The sequence below is a fragment of the Homo sapiens genome, chromosome 2, assembly GCF_000001405.40.
Source record: "Homo sapiens chromosome 2, GRCh38.p14 Primary Assembly".
Taxonomy (NCBI): Eukaryota; Metazoa; Chordata; class Mammalia; order Primates; family Hominidae; genus Homo; species Homo sapiens.
The window spans coordinates 109,996,806-110,014,930 of record NC_000002.12 but is presented as its reverse complement, the minus strand read 5'-3'; the positions used below and the strand labels follow the sequence as shown (position 1 = coordinate 110,014,930).

General features: G+C 41.6%; 1 pseudogene; it reads right to left on the bottom strand.

Moving 5' to 3' along the window:
- Positions 1–3,948: 3,948 nt before the first annotated feature.
- Positions 3,949–7,274, bottom strand: LOC645135 (zinc finger protein 532 pseudogene; annotated as a pseudogene).

Here is an 18,125-nt window from a genome sequence, read left to right as displayed (position 1 = left end):
TGGCCATAAAGCAAGTCTCAATAACTTTTTTTAATGAAGAAACAACACCAAGCATATTTTTGGACCATGGAGAATAAAAATAGAAGGCAATATCAAGAAGATACTTCAAAATCACACAATAAAATGGAAACTAAAGAACTTGTTTCTTAATAACTTTTGAGTTAACAAAATTAAAGCAGAAATCAAATAATTATTTAAAATAAATGAAAACAGAGACATAATTTACCAAAATCTCTGGAATGTAGAAAAAGCAGTATTAAGAAGAAAGTTTATAGTGCTTAAGTGGTTTGCCTACCTCAAAAAGCTAGAATGATACCAAATTATCAATCTAACATCACACCTAAAGGACCTAAAAAAACAAGAACAAACTAATCCAAAGCTACCAGAATAAAATAAATAACAAAAATCACAGCAGAAATAAAATTGAGACCCAAAAAGCCATATAAAAGATCAATGAAATTAAAATTTGGTTCTTTCAAAGAATACGTGAGATTGATAGAATGCTAGGTAGACTAACAAAGAAAGAAGATTCAAATAAATACAATCAGAACTGATACCCACGGAAATACAAAAAAGCCTCAGAGACTATTATGAACACCTCTGTGCACACAAACTAGAAATCTAGAGGAAATGAATAAATTCCTAGAAACACAAAACCTCCCAAGGGAGAATTAGGAAGAAATTGAGATCCTGAACAGATCAACAGCAAGTTCGAAAAATATAAACCAGTAATAAAAAACCTACTAACCAAGAAATGTCCTAGACCAATTAGTTCACAGCCAAATTCTGCCAGACATGCAAAGAAGAGCTGGTGCCAATCCCACTGAAACATTCCCCAAAAAATTGAGGAGAAGGAACTCCTCCCTAACTCATTCTATAAAACCAGCATCATCCTGATACCAAAATCTGACACAGGCACAACAAAAAAAGGAAACTACAGGCCAATATTCCTGATGAACAGACACAAAAATCCTCAACAAAATACTAGCAAACTGAATCCAGCGACACGTCAAAAAGTTAATTCACCATGATTGAATAGGCTTTATTCATGGGAGGCAAGGTTGGTTCAACATATGCAAATAAATAAATGTGATTCACCAAATAAACAAAATTTACAAAAAACATGAACACAAGTAAAAACTTCATGATCATCAACAGATGCAGAAAAAGTTTTAAATGAAACCCAACATCTCTTCATGATAAAAACCCTCAACAAATTAGACATCAAAGGAGTATACCTCAAAATAATGAGTTACCTATGACAAACCCGCAGCCAAGCTCATGCTGAACTGGCAAAAGCTGGATTCATTCCCCTTAAGCATCAGAACAAGACAATGTTGCCCATTCTCACTATTCTGACTCAACATAGTACTGGTAGTCGTAGCAGAGCAGTTATGCAAGAGAAAGAAAAACAGGAAATTCAAACAGGAAAAGAATAAGTCAAATTATCTCTCTTCATAGATGATATTACTCAATACCTATAAAACCTTAAAAGACTACCAAAAATTCAAACAACTGATAAATAACTTCAGTAAAATTTCAGAATATATAATCAATGTACAAAAGTCAGCAGCAGTTGTATACACCAATAACATCCAAGCTGAGAGCCAAATCAAGAATGCTATCCCATTTATTATGGCCACATAAAAAAATACCTAGGAATATATCTAACCAAGGAGGTGAAAGAACTCCACAAGAATAACAAAAATTTCTGCTGAATAAAATCACAGATGACACAAACAAATGGAAAAACATTCCATGTTCATGGATGGGAAGAATGAGTGTCATTAAAACGGCCGTACTGCCCAAAGCAATCTCTAGATTTAACACTATTCCTATTAAATTACCAATGTTGTTTTTCACAGAATTAGGAAAAACACTACTTTAAAATCCATATGGAATGAAAAAAAGAGCAGAAATCACCAAAGCAATCCTAAGCCAAAAAAAAAAAAAAAAAGAAGAAAAAAGAAAAAAGCCAGAGACATCACACTATCCAACTTTAAACTATATTAGAAGGCTACATAACCAAAACACTACAGTACTGGTACAAAAACAGATACATAGACCAGTGGGACAGAATAGAGAACCTAGAAATAAAGTCACACACCTACAACCAAGTGAACATCCGTGAAGCTGACAAAAATAAGCAATAGGGAAAGGACTCCGTATTCAATAAATAGTGCTGGGATAACTGCCTATCCATAGGCAGAATGAAACTGGCTCCTGTTCACTGCTCTGTGTCTTCTGTTCCTAGAAGCCCAGTCTCTATGGACCAGCAGGTATTGGGAGATCCATAGCTAAGACACCAGAACCTGCTGCAAGCCTAGAAATGGAACTGTTGACATTCAGGGATGTAGCCATAGAATTCTCTCCAGAGGGGTGGCAATGCCTGGGCACTGCACAGCAGAATTTGTATTAGCATCCGATGTTAGAGAACTACAGAAACCTGGTCTCTCTGGCTTTGTGTTCTCATTTCACCCAAGATTATTGACCAGAGCAGGGCATAAAAGATTCATTCCAAAAAGTAGTACTAAGTAGATATGGAAAATACAGACAAAAGAATTTACAATTAATGAAAGGCTGTAATGGTGTGGATGAGGGTAAGATGCAGAAAGGAGGTTATAATGAACTTAGCCAATGATTTTCAACTACATAGAACAAAATATTTTTTTCAAATGTCCCACGTTTATTTACATATGAAATGTGTTTCATACAGTTATGATGGATGGAGTGTATAACACCTGACAGCAGCAAGACCTTTCGAGGAACCGAACATTGACTACAGTATATCATGCAAGTGTCTATATATACACAAAATAATTCCTTTTCTTAAAAAAAAAAGTACAAAACATGTTCAGGGATAAATACAAGATATAAAATTCAAAAGAAAACACAAAACAAAACCAAAAAATATAACTCTCTCAGAGAACTATAAACGGAAGGGACAGAAGAGTACCTCTACTGCATTTTAGTAAAGCAGAACTGCCGACGTTAAATGTACCTCTTGAAATGGCTGAACTAATCCCGTGTGGCTCAGTGCTTAAGGTAACGGCCAATTGTGACACACAGCCGGCTGCATTGATAAGTCGGTGGTTGACGTCGTGCATCCCACCTCTAAGCACCAGAACGTTTGGCAGTAGCACCCAGAACAGGAAACGCCAACTCTTTTGACAGCAAAGGATTAAGTCAGCTGATTTTTTTTTTCTATCAAGAGCCAGAGAAATACTTGATATTCTTAGTTGTGTTTCTGTAATAGTTAATAAATTACATGACAAAAACCTGACTATATAGATCTATTGGTCTAACTACGTATTTGTAACTTTTACAGTAGTCCAGCCCTTTTGTTACTTTTCCTCCTTGTGCTCTTAAAGCCAGACTTGCAGATCTACCCAGAAAACCTGTCCCATTTTTTTTCTTCTTTAGAATAGCCTTCCCCATTCCTCAAAATGGAATTGAGGAAATCAGCATTCCTTATTAGATTCCTGGCTTCAGTTTTTATCCACGGCTGGGAAAGGAGCGACCTGCAAGGCTGCTTTAGACACCCTTCGGCGTGGCCTGAAGACAAAGACATGCCCACACTGGAGTGCAGTTGTCTCAAACGTGTACTCGCTCCCTCAGGGCAGGCACATGGAGGAGGTGCTAAGACATTTAAAAGTTCCTAGTGTTTTTGAGACCCACGATTACTTCCAATTTATGTAGTGAATTCTAACAATTAAAAACACTAAAAAAGGCATTATTTTAGCCTGTAATTAGTTAACCCATTCAAATTCGAAACATACAAAATGATTTATTTGAATTCAGGAACTGCCCCTGTTACTAAGAACTCTGTTTTAAAGAAACAGCACAAAAAGAAAAATTCTAACCCAAAACAACTCAAAACGTTTTCCACTGAATACTGATACAAACATGTAACAAAGAGTATAAAAAGTTATTCATTTAAATATATACAAACTCTTTTAAACTCAAAATCTGTTTTAATACTTAATGAGGATATATATGACAAGATGAAGAAGGAAGGCACGTTGAAAGAGAATATATTGCAACAGCCTAGACAGTATTGTTAACTCTATTATACTGCAAACTTTGTGTAACAAAAGTGTCTTATGCCAATGTGGACAGGGATTTTCCTCATGGAGCGTCTGTGGCTATTTCTCGTCTGAGCTCATCCTTTTGGATTTGATGAAGGCCATACCATGTGTCTGCATGTGAGTGTTTAAGGCAGCTTCAGTTTCAAAAGTTTTTGCACACACTTTGCACTTTCTGTCTGACATGGCGCCATTGGGAGATTCATCCTCGTGACTGGGTTTGTTCTCCTGTTGGTTATCTTCCCCAGCCCCGTTTTGCTTGGACACTGGCTGAGGTTCCTTTAACTTGTGTACAACAAAGAGGTGCCTGGACAGAGAGACGTGACATGTAGCAGAGGCCACACTCCCGGCACTGGTAGAAAGAACCATCCGATTTGTGCTGAGGGATGTGTTCGTGGAACTGCAGCAGGTTTTCGGTGGTGAAGCCACACACGGCACACTTGTGAACCTTAAAAACATTGATTTTCAGCTTTGGTTGAGTGATTGCTCCTCTGGGAGGCCTGAACTCCAGAACCGGTTCTTTCAACTTCCACTTGGGACTGGGGACCTTGGGGTCTTCTTTTATTTCTGTTTCCTCCTCATTGATGGCGTCTGTCATTTCTTTCAGGTCAGGGTCCTTGATGCCATGCGTCAGCTGGACATGCTTCTCCAACATCAACTGTTTGGTAAAGGTACCTCTAGAGTCTGAGCAGTGTGAACAGGTGTACACTTTCCTGATGACTTTGTGCTTGATCCGGTTGTGCCAGCACAGGCTGTGGGATGAGCTGAAAGGCTTGTCACGCTGGCAGCAGGGTTGTTTCTTCATTTGTTTCCCATGCTCCTTCCTGACGTGGGATATGTACACATCTCTCTGCATGAACAGGCGGTCACACTCCCAACATGTCCACCCAGGACTGGCCACTTTCTTGGTTTCCACTGATTTTTTTCAAAGGAGATGGAGATTTCTTTTCCAATTTCTCTTTCCCATTCATGGATTTGCTGTCCTCTTTGTTCTGATATGCTGAATTATAAGTTGCAGGCTTAATGCTCAAAGGCAAGTTTACACCCAAGTTGGCCCTTCAATGCTTTGCAATGTCCCATGCATAGACTTGATATGGTCCACCATAAGTTGCTTCTGTGCATATAAAAGAGAACAGTCTGGACACCTGAGAACAGACACCTTCTGGTTTTCAATGTGTTGGTCAAAGTGGCGATACAGCAAGGTTTGCAGGGTGAACACAGTGTTGCACATGGAACACTTATATATTATTTTTGATTCTCCTATCTTGATGCTAGGATGCTGTGTGTAGGTGTGGGAATGTGTGCTTGGGGCAGACTTAAACGTCATTGGACAAATAGGACACTTGTAGAAGACTTCACAGTGAGAACCTTGAATGTGAGACTTCAGAGCAGCCACATCAGAGTACACAACATTGCAACGTACACATCAAAAACCAACTCTCCTTGTGTAGTGCAGACAGTTCTTGGTGACGTGGGTCTGGAAGTGCACCAACCTGCAGATGGCCCTGCACTCAGGGCAGGTGTAAGGAGATTTGTGCTGATGGATTCTCTGCACTGGTTAGGAAGCAGCATCTGGCAGATAGTACAAGTCTTTTGTCCACTCATATCTGCAGCCTGCTGGAAATGTGTAGCCAGCGATGTCTTGTCCTGGAAGATTTCATTACACTCCAAACATTTTAGATTATGTCTACACAGCTTGGAGGGGTCTTCATCTAGGGGTATGGCTGTAGTGCTGGGAGTTCTTGAAGGAGCCGATATGACTGTCCCAGTTATGCCAGACTGAATTTTTGTGACAGTGTGTATGCCAGCTCCCACAGGGCTCTGAAGAGTGGATTTTTCCTCTGATGAAGAAGAAGTATTGGTTGATGGAGAAACTATCGTTTGACCTGCTGGGACTGGCTTTAAAATTGAGTAGGAACATTGCATTACCACCCCTTTCTCCTTATGCCCACGGGCATGGGAAAGGAGGCTGCATTTGTTGTAAAAAAACGAGGTTCTTTGTACAAAGGTTGCATGTTACTTCGATGCACATGCTCCATCTGTCATAGTGCTGGGTCAGACTCTTTTCAAGTTCAAAGGAGTCCCTACACTCCAAGCACTTGTACCAAGGCATCAGTAATGTGATCCCTGCATTGGCAGGAGGACTGAGGTTTGGGATGTAAATGGACTGGATTGACACTGCTCAGCACCTTGTTGAAAGTTTCCACCACAGAACTCTGCAAGGACGACACCACCCGGACTCGAGACACCTTTCTGGGGGCTTGTGAGGCTGCTGCATTAATTATTGCCTTCTTTATCTGTTGCTGAGTTTTGATTGACACTTGGCAGAGTTCAGAGGTGGCCTGGGCAACCTGAGGCAGAAGGTTAAGGTTGGCAAGATGCAGTCTTTGGCACAAGTTTGGCATTGGCCAGGCTGGATGCTGGCATCATGACAGTTTGCTGCTGGATGGCATTGGCAGCTTTAATGATGGTGCTGCTGGCACTCTGGACAGAGGCAGCAGGTACGACCGTGGCTTTCACCGTGGTGTTGTTAGCGAGCTTCAAATTAATGACTTGGGATCCTGCTGTCTTCACAGCAGACACTGGGAGGAAAGCAGTAGCCACAGGCTTGATTGTGACCTGTTTAGGGGTGGGCTCTGCAGAGGAAACTGCATTGGTCACCACTGCAGACTGGAGAGGCACCCTGGCGGGAGAGGAAAGGGTGGCAGCTGATGCGGGAGACGACAGAAGGGATGTCACAGAGGCCATCACAGACACCGTCTGCTCGGAAGGTTTCTTCCCAGAGTCAAGATCCACTTCTGGCAATACCCTGGTCACTGTTCTCTTGATTTCCCCAGAAGACGTCTTAGTGGTTTTTATGCGGACTTTGGGGATTGGTGGTGTGGACCCTGCGGGAGAAGCCGGGGTTCCTTTGATGCTGTTCTCACTTGAGATGTTTCTGGGACTATCCAGTTGCTTTAGGGATGTTTTTTTGGTCCCGTCGATGAGATTCTGGGATTCAGGAGACTTGTCGGCGGCTCTCGGACTGTCGTTTACTTCTTTTGATAACGAGGAGGATTCCCTCGAATTGGCCACTTGTTCTTTGGAGGAGTCTGATGCCACCTTTTTAGTGCTGAGAGCTGCGATGGCAGTGATGCAGGACAAGAAGTTGGAGAACGACTTTGTTTTTGATGGCGCAATGCCGGGGAGCCCAAAAATTTCATATACAGTCAAACAAACTTCATAAGCAAAGGAGAAGATACTTTTCAGACAAGCAAATGTTAAGGGAATTTATCACCACCAGACCTGCCTTAAAAGAGGTCTCTAAGGGAGTGTTAAATATAGAAACAAGCCAGGCGCAGTGGCTCACGCCTGTAATCCTAGCACTTCAGGAGGCTGAGGCAGGCAGATCACTTGAGCCCAGGAGTTCAAAACCAGACTGGGCAACATGGTGAAACCCTGTCTCTACAAAAAATATAAAAATCAGCTAGGAATGGTGGTATGCGCCTGTGGTCCCAACCACTCAGGAGACTAAGGCAGGAGGATGGCTTGAGCCCAGGAAGCAGAGGTTGCAGTGAGCCCAGATCATACCATTGCACTCTGCCTGGGCAGCAGAGTGAGATCCTGTCTCAAAATAAAATAAAATAAATATGAAAACAAAAGACCATTACCAGTCATCACAAAAACACACTTAAATACATAGACCATTAATGCTACAAAGCAACTACAAAATCAAGTCTAGTCTGCATAATAACCAGCTAAAAATATATATATATAAGGACAGGATCAATTCCATACATAGAATTATTAACTTTGAATGTAAGTGGGCTAAATGCCCCAATTGAAATGCACAGAGTGGCAAGTTGAATAAAGAAGCGAGACCCACTTGGGTGCAATGGCTCATGTCTGTAATCCCAGCACTTTGGGAGACCAAGGTGGGCAGATCGCTTAAGCCCAGGTGTTCGAGACCAGCCTGGGCAACATGGGAAAAACTCATCTCTATAAAAAATATAAAATTAGTTAGGCACGGTGGCCTGCACTTGTAGTCCCAGCTACTCCAGAAGTTGAAGTGTAAAGATCACCTGAACTCAGGAGATTGAGGCTTCAGTAAGCCATAATTGTGCCACTGCATTCCAGCATGGGTGAAAGAGACAGAACGGTCTCAAAAAATTAAAAACAAACAAACAAACAAACAAGACCCAACTGTATGCCATCTTCAAGAGACCCATCTCACACATGCAATGACACAGATAGGCTCAAAGTAACGGGATGGAGGAAAATCTACCAAGTAAACAGAAAACAAAAACAAAACAAACAAACAAAAAAATAGCAGGGGCTGCTATTCTAATTTCAGACAAAACAGACTTTAAGTCAACAACAATCAAAAAATACAAAGAAGGGCATTACATAATGGTAAAGTGTTCAATTCAACAAGAAGACTTAACTCTTCTAAATATATATGCATCCAACACAAGAATTATGTGTGCACCCAGGGAGCACCCAGATTCATAAAAACAAGTTCTTAGAGACCTGTGAGGAGACTTAAATTTCCACACAATCATAGTGGGAGACTTCAACCCTCCACTGACAGTATTAGACAGATCATCAAGGCAGAAAACTAAAAAATATATGACCTGAACTCAACACTTGACCAAATGGAACTAACAGACATCTACAGAATTCCCCACCCCAAAACAACAGAATATATATTATTCTCATCACCACGTGGTGCATACTCTAAAACTGACCACACAATCAGACAAAAAACAATTCTCAACAAATTTTTAAAAATTGAAATCATACCAATTACACTCTCAAACCACAGCACAATAAAAATAGAAGCAAATACTAAGAAGATTGCTCAAAACCATAAAATTACATGGAAATTGAACAACCTGCTCTTGAATGACTGCTAGGTAAATTATGAAATTAAGGCAGAAATAAAGCTTCAAAACCAAAGAAAAAAAAGATAAGACATACCAGAATCTGTGTGACACAGCTAAAGCACTGTTAAGAGGAAAGTTTATAGCATTAAATGCTCATGTCAAAAAGTTAGAAAGATCTCCAATTAACAACATAGCATCACACCTAGAAGAACTAGAAAAACAAGATCAAACCAACCCTAAAACTAGAAGAAGACAAGAAATAACTGAAATCAGAGCCGAACTGAAATAAAGTGATGCATGAAAAAACATACAAAAGATCAATAAAACCAGAAGTTTTTTTTAAAGACTAAATAAGATAGCTAGAACGCTAACTAGACTAACAGCAGAAGAAAGAGAAAATCCAAATAAACACAATCAAAATTGACAAAGGAGACATTATCAATGACCCTACAGAAATACAAAAACTCTGAGACCATTATGAACACCTCTAGGCACCTAGAAAACCTACAAAATGTGGAAAAATTCCTGAAAACACAACTCCGCAAAATTGAACCAGGAAGAAACTGAAACCCTGAACAGACTAATAATGAGTTTTGAAATTGAATCAGTAATAAAATAATTTCCATCTAATTTTATGATTTTGAGCAAGAAAAAGCCCAGGATCAGATGAATTCACAGCCAAATTCTACCAGACGTATAAAGAAGAGCTGCTACCATCCCTGCTTGAAACTATTCCAAACAATTGAGGACCAGAGACTCCTCACTAACTCATTCTATGAGGCAAGCATCATTCTGATACCAAAGCCTGGCAGAGACACAGCAAAGAAAAAACTACAGGCCAATATCCTTGATGAACACAGATGCAAAAATCCTCAACAAAATACTAGCAAACTGAATCTACCAGCACATCAAAAAGCTAATCCGCCATAATCAAGCAGGGTTTATGCCTGGGATGCAAGGTTGGTTCAACATATGCAAATCAATAAATGTGACTTATCACATAAACAGAACTGAAAACAAAAACCACATAATCATCTCAATAGATGCAAAAAAGACTTTTGATAAAATTCAACATCCCTTTATGTTAAAAACCCTTAATAAACTAGGTATTGAGGGAACATACCTCAAAATAATGAGAGCCATTTATGACAAACCCACGGCCAACATCACACTGAACAGGCAGAAGCTGGGATCATTCCCCTTGAGAAGTGGAACAAGACAAGGATACCCACTCCCATCACTCCTATTTAACACAGTACTAGAAATCCTAGCCAGGACAGTCAGGCAAGAGAAAGAAGTAAAGGCATCCAAATAGGAAGACAGGAAGTCAAACTATCTCTGTTTGCAGATAACATGATTTTATACCTAGAAAACCCCATAGTCTCTGCCTAAAAGCTCCTAGATCTAATAAACAACTTCAGCAAAGTTTCAGGATACAAAATCAAGGTACACAAATCAGCAGTATTTCTATACACCAACAATATCCAAGCTGAGTGCCAAATCAAGAATGCCATTTAATTCACAATAGACACACACACACACACACACACACACACACACACACACACACACAAATACCAAGGAATAAAGGGAACCAGGGAGGTGAAAGATCTCTACAACAAGAAAACAAGAATTACAAAGCACTGCTGAAAGAAATCAGAGCTGACCCAAACAAATCGAAAAACACTCCATGCTCAAGGATAGGAAGAATCAATATTGTTAAAATTGCCACATACTATCAAAAGCAATCTCTAGATTCAATGTTATTCCTATCAAACTACCAATGTCATTTTTCACAGAATTAGAAAAAAAACCTATTCTAAAATTTATAAGGAACTAAAAAGGAGCACAAATCACCAAAGCAATCCTAAGCAAAAAGAACAAAGCGGGAGGCATCACACTACCTCACTTCAAACTATACTACAAGGCTACAGTAACCAAAACAGCATGGTATTGGTACAAAAACAGACACATAGACCATTAGAACAGGATAAAGAACCCAGAAATGAAGCCACACGTCTACAACTAACTGATCTTTGGCAAAGGTGACAAAAATAAGCAATAGGAAAAGGGCTTCCTATTCAATAAATGATTCCAGGATAACTGGCTATCTAGATGCCAGAATGAAACTAGACCCCTACTTATCACCATATACAAAAATTAACTCAAGAGGGATTAAAGACTTAAATGTAAGACTTCGAACTATAAAAACTCCCAGCACTTTGGGAGGCCAAGGCAGGTGGATCACCTGAGCTAAGGAGTTCAAGACCAGCCTGGGCAACATGGTGAAACCCCATGTTTACTAAAAAAAATACGAAGAATTAGCTGGGCGTGGTGGCACACGTGCCTGTGGTCCCAGCTATTCAGAAGGCTGAGGTGGGAAGATTGTTTGAGCCTGGGAGGTGGAGATTGCAGTGAGTCAAAATCTCATCACCACACTCCAGCATAAGGGACAGAATGAGACCCCTCTCAAAAAAGAAAAAAAATTCTGGAACTAGAGAGTGTTAAGAATGTCCTAAATGTCACTGAATGATACACTTTAAAGTGCTTAATCTTATGTAAATTTTTCCTCAATTTAGAAACTTTTTCAAATTCTTGAAAAAAAGAACTACGTAACATATATAAATATATACATAAACATAATATATATAGTATAAACATTTATAGCATACATATGTAATCTCTCTGCCATTTTGGGCTACCTTAACAAATAAGGCAGAAGCAACACATAAAAATTAAATATAAATATATGTACATATACACACACATAAATATGCATATTTATAAATTTAGAAATATAGAACATAGGTGACTATTCAAGGAAACATATATTTATGAGCATATAAATATATAGGTAACATACATAAATATATTTAATATAGAAATTTACACATATATATGTAGCACTCTGCCACTCTGGCATACTTTGCTCATACAAGGTAGAAGCAAAAATATATACTCACATACATGTGTATGCACACACATAGGTATGTTTTTATATATGTACATACAACTACTTATATTTATTAATATATATAGAAATACATAAAAAGCGTAAAATATACATAAGGGTATTGTTAAATTGAATTATCTTTGTCCTAAAGCTGCCTCCATACTTATTTTAAGTTTGGCCTAATGAGTTCTCTATACATAGCTAGTTGAAACCTAACTTAATGTGTAAAAATAACTAACTTAACCCAAGACTGTAGTCTTATAACATGTAACTATGTCTCAGCCAATGAAAACAGCTGAGCCTTCAGCCAATCAGAGGCTGAAAGCTGCCAAAACATGACTATATAAGGTAAATGCCAACAGCAGCCAATCAGGCTGTTTCCGTGCACTTCTTTTTCTCTAGCTGTAAATATAACCTGCACATACGGTGGCATGGAGTGTTCTGAGCCATTTTTGGTGCAAACTGATGCCTGATTCCTAAATTGTTTCTTTGCTCAAATAAACTCTGCTAAATTTAATGTATGTAAAGGTTTTGTTTTTTTTTTTAACAGATTCGTGTAGGAAATGCAATCTGAAGTAGAACTTCCATCAAACCCCAGAAGCATGGAGTGGCCAAGCACAGCGACCCACCAGGCCCATTGTGCACACAGATCTCTCACAGCAGCAGGGGTCCTGGGCAAGTTCTCTCTCAAATTTTGAAGCTCCAAGAATTTGTGTTTTGAGCTATGCATTTGTTTAAGCCAATTTTTTTATCCAGACTGGGTTTCAAAGTTGATTCTGAAATAATAAATAAAAGCTAAATAAGATCTTTAAACTAAATTTGTTGTAATTTTGTCTTTTGAGAGTTCTGGCAAGCTGAATGGGATCCACCTCCCAAGACCCCTTGAGGAAAGCAGGAAAGACACTGCTGGCCCCTTTGCCCTCCTTCTGAGGTTGTACATTCCTCTTAGGCCAGACTCTGTTCTTTTTGCATTGAACCTTGATCCTTTTGGGTTTCAAATCCAGGGTTTTGTGCTGTGAGAGGGCAAATTATCTTGGGATGGGTGCCAATGGCCAGTTTCTGCTGTGAGATAATATACGGCCTTTTGAGGTTTGGGTAGCTGACGAGTCATTGGCAAAAACTTGACTGAGTCCAGCATCAAGTTGGATTTGATTGTGAACTGCATTGGATCGAGGTAGGAGGCCACTCAGTCTGATGATCAGATGGAAACTGGACTGGGTTCAGTAGATAGATAAGTTTGGCCTCCCTCAAGATAACCTAGAGTTACAGTGGTGACAGTGGGGAAACCCTTACAAAGGTAAATAGGTGCGTGTCTTCCCAGTTACAACAACTGCAGGGATTGAGAGTACTTGTACTTGTGCATGCAAACTAAACACCCCTGTGCCCTAAGATGTCTGCCTTTTTTGCAAATAGCCAGGCCACTGGAAAAAGAATTGTCCACTTTTACAGCAGCCATCTCACGGGTCATCCCTTTGGCCTGGACTGTTTCCCCACTAAGGGAAGCCCTCAAAGGCATCACTCTTGGGACAACTATCGACTAATCTAATCAGCCCTCCCTGTTTTCTCTCTCTCTCTCTTTGATCCTGCTTCTCCCATGGGAACCTCTCAGTTGACTGAAACCACTCTTTTCCAACCCTTGCTGCCACTTCTTTCTTATTGTCATGAACTTTGCCATGTTCCCGAAGTCTTACTTAGTGAAAATAAGCCTTTCTGACTTAATTTCCTTGTTGAGAAGGGTGGCCAGCAGCCAGGCTAGTGATAAAATTAATTAAATATGCCACCGAATTAATTCCTACAGTGTTAAAAGAGAAGCACCAACAATGTCAGTGACCATGTAACATGGATTTAAGCTACAAGTCATAGAACTGTGATAAGAAGCCTCAGCGCTGTAAAACAGAGGGTGGAGGAAAGCATTTCCTCTCTCAAATGAGCTTTGCCGGGTATACTTCTTGAAGAGTAGGAAGTTGAAGTGTTCAGGACTTTTATATCTATTCTACTTTGGCTTAGTTTAAATGATTCTTAGTTTATTAGCCTAGAAATGGCCAAGAAAACTTAAGTCTCAATAATTAGTTATAAATGTGAAATATCCCCAATTTTTAAGATAAAAACAACTTATAAATGTATTTGTAAAAATTGCGTATATTTTTAGAGAGCGTGTATTTCTTTAAAACGGAGGGGAGTCTCTCATTTATATTAGTTTTCTTCATACCCTTTTGAACTTTGCAATTCCTATGTGTAGGAACCTATTTCTTACAGTTTTTCTACGCTAAACTCTGTCCTGGTCAGTTCTAGCGTGTACGAAGAACCAAATGATGTAATTGTATGCGACCTGGCTGTAGTGGAACAAATTTGACTCTTAAGTATGCAGGCTCTAATTTTCCTGTCTGATTTTTGTAAGTATTCCTTAGATAGGTTTTTTCTTTGAAAATCTAGGATTGAGAGGTTGATGAATGAAAATTAATCCTTTCACTTTGTTGTATATAGGTTTGCAATAACTAGGTCAGAGTAGAGTTTTTAGGTCATGAAGGGGGCTGATGACTTACAAATAATGGGCTCTGATTGGGCAACTACTCATCTGAGTTCCTTCCATTTGACCTAATTAAGCTTGTGAAATTTACACTAAGCCACGAGCTCATCTTTAAAAAGCTTTTACTAAAAGATTTTCAGCTGTTCCAAATGGGACTTATTAGTGGAATGTGTTTTAAAGAATCATATCAGATGAATGAAAGGTATTTGATCCTTTATTTCCTAAATAATTAAATGATGGCTAGAGTCTAACCACAGTGCTATTATTAGGCTTTCTTGTTAAACATAGGTCTGAGCCTAAGTACGTCAATACAACAAATACTTACTGTTTCGTTTCTATTAATGAGAAAAAAAAAAAAAAAAAAAACAAGTCTTTCTGGCATAATGATGATTTTCATCTGGTTATTTTGAAACATTTTTGTAAAATAAATTTACATCTATAAAGAAAATTTTTATTTGTAAGGAGGGGTATGTCTCTGTGCACTGGAAGAGAGGAAGGACTAAATTACTGGGAAGTCTTATGATAAAGAAGCCATTGGCTTAAATCAGCAAAGCAAGCCGTCCCTTGGTTTAAGGTGTTTTTCCTGGCCATCCTGTCTTGACTAGAACTTTACCTACACGCTCCTTTTTGGTTTAGGCAAATGATAGTATCTAAACCTGAAGTCTCAACTCTGTGCCTTTGAGATATAAACATTCTACCATGTCTTCTCTGGAACCTGATAACTATCTGTCTCTTTAAAATGCAAGTCTAGGGAGATGACTCATCAGAAAAAGAAGAAAAAAGAGGTATTTGGAAATTGTGCAAATTAAAGCAGCCCCTGATGCCAAAGTCTACACATTCCTGAGTGAGTCAGTTCTGGCCAGTTCTAGCTGGATCAAGAGAGCCCTGCTGGGCAGGCCTGAAGAGCACCTGGATGGCAGACACCTGAGGAGCCAGGTGCCTGAAACTTCCTCCACCTGCCTGAGGAGCACCAAAGCCCAGGCTGGCTAGACAACCCCTTCTGGCTGCCTAAGCAGGTGGCAGAGGAAGGAAACAAGGTCAGAGGCAGAGTGTTGAACCCTGCCTCCCAGGTGGGTGGAAGATGCCTGTCACCAAACTAGGGCCCAGCTTGCCAGGTGAGGTGGGTGAACTGGTGATCCCCCGAGAGAGTGGACGTCAGAACTATATGGTCCCAGACTTCACCTCAGCCAGCAAAGGAGAGAGAGGGTTAATGTTAACTGCACGAGGCCCACTCTAGCCTTAAATTCTGTAATGCAAACCCTTCCCTTGGAGACAAAACAAACATGACAAGGAATTCTGAGGTCAGGGGACAAGAACCACAAGTTCCCTAGTGGGAGACTGAGGAGGCAGTGTCCTTCCTGCCATTGGTCTACTGGCTAAGAACCTTCCTCAGCCTGACCTTTCCACATTGCACTTTCAGCTCTGTTTGCAATTTTCCTCCTTTAGTGCTGAGGGAATCCCAGTGTTTGATCCTGAAATCTATAGGTTCCTAATGGGTGGTTAAAAAAAACCTCAGCGAGAGAAGCAGAAAATGTTTCCTCTTCCTGAAAAACTGTAGAAAGGCAGGCACCATTCTGGGTGAGGACATGGTCCTTGCAAATGTCTTTTTTATGTTTTTTATTTTTTTTATTTTGAGATGAAGTTTTGCTCTTGTTGCCCAGACTGGAGTGCAGTAGTGCGATCTCTGCTCACTGCAACCTCCGCCTCCTGGGTTCAAGCAATTCTCCTACCTCAGCCTCCCGAGTAGCTGGAATTACAGGCACCTGCCACCACACCTGGCTGATTTTTGTATTTTTAGTAGAGATGGGGTTTTGCCATGTTGGCCATGTTGGTCTCAAACTCCTGACCTCAAGTGAGCCACCTGCTTCTGCCTCCCAAAGTGCTGGGATTACAGGAGTGAGCCACCGCGTCCAGCCTGCAGATGTCTTTAAAGACAGCGTTTCAGAGGCTGTGACAGTGCCCTGTGAATGTGCCAAATCTCGCAGTCCCGGGAGCTCTGAGGGGCAGGCCCAGCTCCTTGCCAGGCTGATGGTACTGAAACCCTGCTCTCCAAGACATAACTGATGGCCCTGCAAGATTTCTTAATCGACTGTGGACCGTGAGAACCTGCATCTCATTTTAATTAAGACAGGAAAAGAAAGAACAAAAGAGCAACTCCCAGGTTATAGAGAAACTGGATTTTAGTATAATATTCAAGTGTAGCACTGCTAATAATAACAAACCTTTCCCCTCCCAAACGGTAAACACTTGCACTGCCTATTATACAAAAATTCAACCACCCCTCTGTTCCCCCCATATCTCCTCCCCAGTGACACCCCCCCCCTCATGTGGCCTCATGAGCCTGGCCAGTGGTGAATGGCACTTTCAGGGGCATGAGACTTCACGTGAGTGGGACTCAGCTGGGACCCCTCTCCAGGTGGGAGCCGGAGAAGCTGCCCTAGTACCAGCTCAAAGTGTCCGTGATGTCCCTGCTGCTGAGGTAGGGGCCGCCTCTGAGCTGGTCTCGGGGTGTGAGCTGCTGCTGGTAGTGGGCTCTGCCCTGAGGGCCTGGTGGCTGGTCGGAAGGGCAGGCACACATGGGTGCCTCCCCAGGGACCCAGGCCACCTCCCCACCACAGCCCTGCACTGTGTGCTCCAGGCATGTGCTGAGTGCCTGGTCAATCACCAGTGCCCCATTGATCCCAGTCTCCAGAGAGAGCATTTAGTGTCACTCCACAGAGGGGGAAACTGAGGCCCAGAGAAGTAAGGTGACTCTCCCCAGTCACAGGGCTGGTCAGAAGTAGGATGGGAGGCTAGTCCCTTGCTCTCTGACTCCCTGAGCCCACCCATAGCCCAAGGCAGCCAACCTCTGCCCGCCCTGGTTCAGGCCCCGACTGGCCCCTGTGGTGGGTGATGTCTACCTTCCTGGCCTTTGTGCTCCCAGCCAACTGGGATGGAGCCTCCAGCTGGCATGACAGGTTGTAGCTATGGACAGAAGAGTGGCTGTGAGGCTGCCAGGAATCTCACCAGGGCCCCCTCCCAGGGCCTGTGCAGAGTGAGGTCTGGGTACCCCAGGCATTGCCAGACCACAGGATCTGATGTTGGCCAAGAGGCCATGGCCACAGGCTTTCTGAGGCTGGCCCCCAGGGAGAGTTCAATCCTAGTGTCCCAATTCCTGCCCTGGCCTTACCTCTCAGTCTCACCGAGCTGCTTCATCGTCCCAAACCAGGACCCAAAGTGCTGCTTGGGCTCAAGGTTGTAATTATTTGCAGCCAACTGGAGCAGCGGACCTCCTTGCTTACTTTGAATTCCTGGGTCCAGAGGGAAAAAGTGGGTGGTGACAGGGACTGGACAGGGATGCCACAGGGGCCCTGTGGGGGTGTTAGATGGGGTGGTGGCCAGTCTTTGCTCATAGGGCACCCCCTCCTCCTCTCCAGTCCTGTCCCCACCTGTTCTCAGAGCTGGCTCAAACAGCAGCTCCTCCAGGAAGGTGTCCTTGGTTTCAACCTGGTACTCCCACCTGCACGTCTTCCTGGAGTGTCTCCTCTTTCTCTCTGTATCCCCATAAATCTAAGATGAGGGGGATGGATTTGCCCACCGCTACTCACCTTATGACTCTTGTGAGGTTGATCAGTCTCCCCTGGAAGGCCAACAGCTGAAGTCCATCAGAAAGGGTCCTCTGGCCCAGAGCCAGCCCCTGCCCACCCCTGTCATGC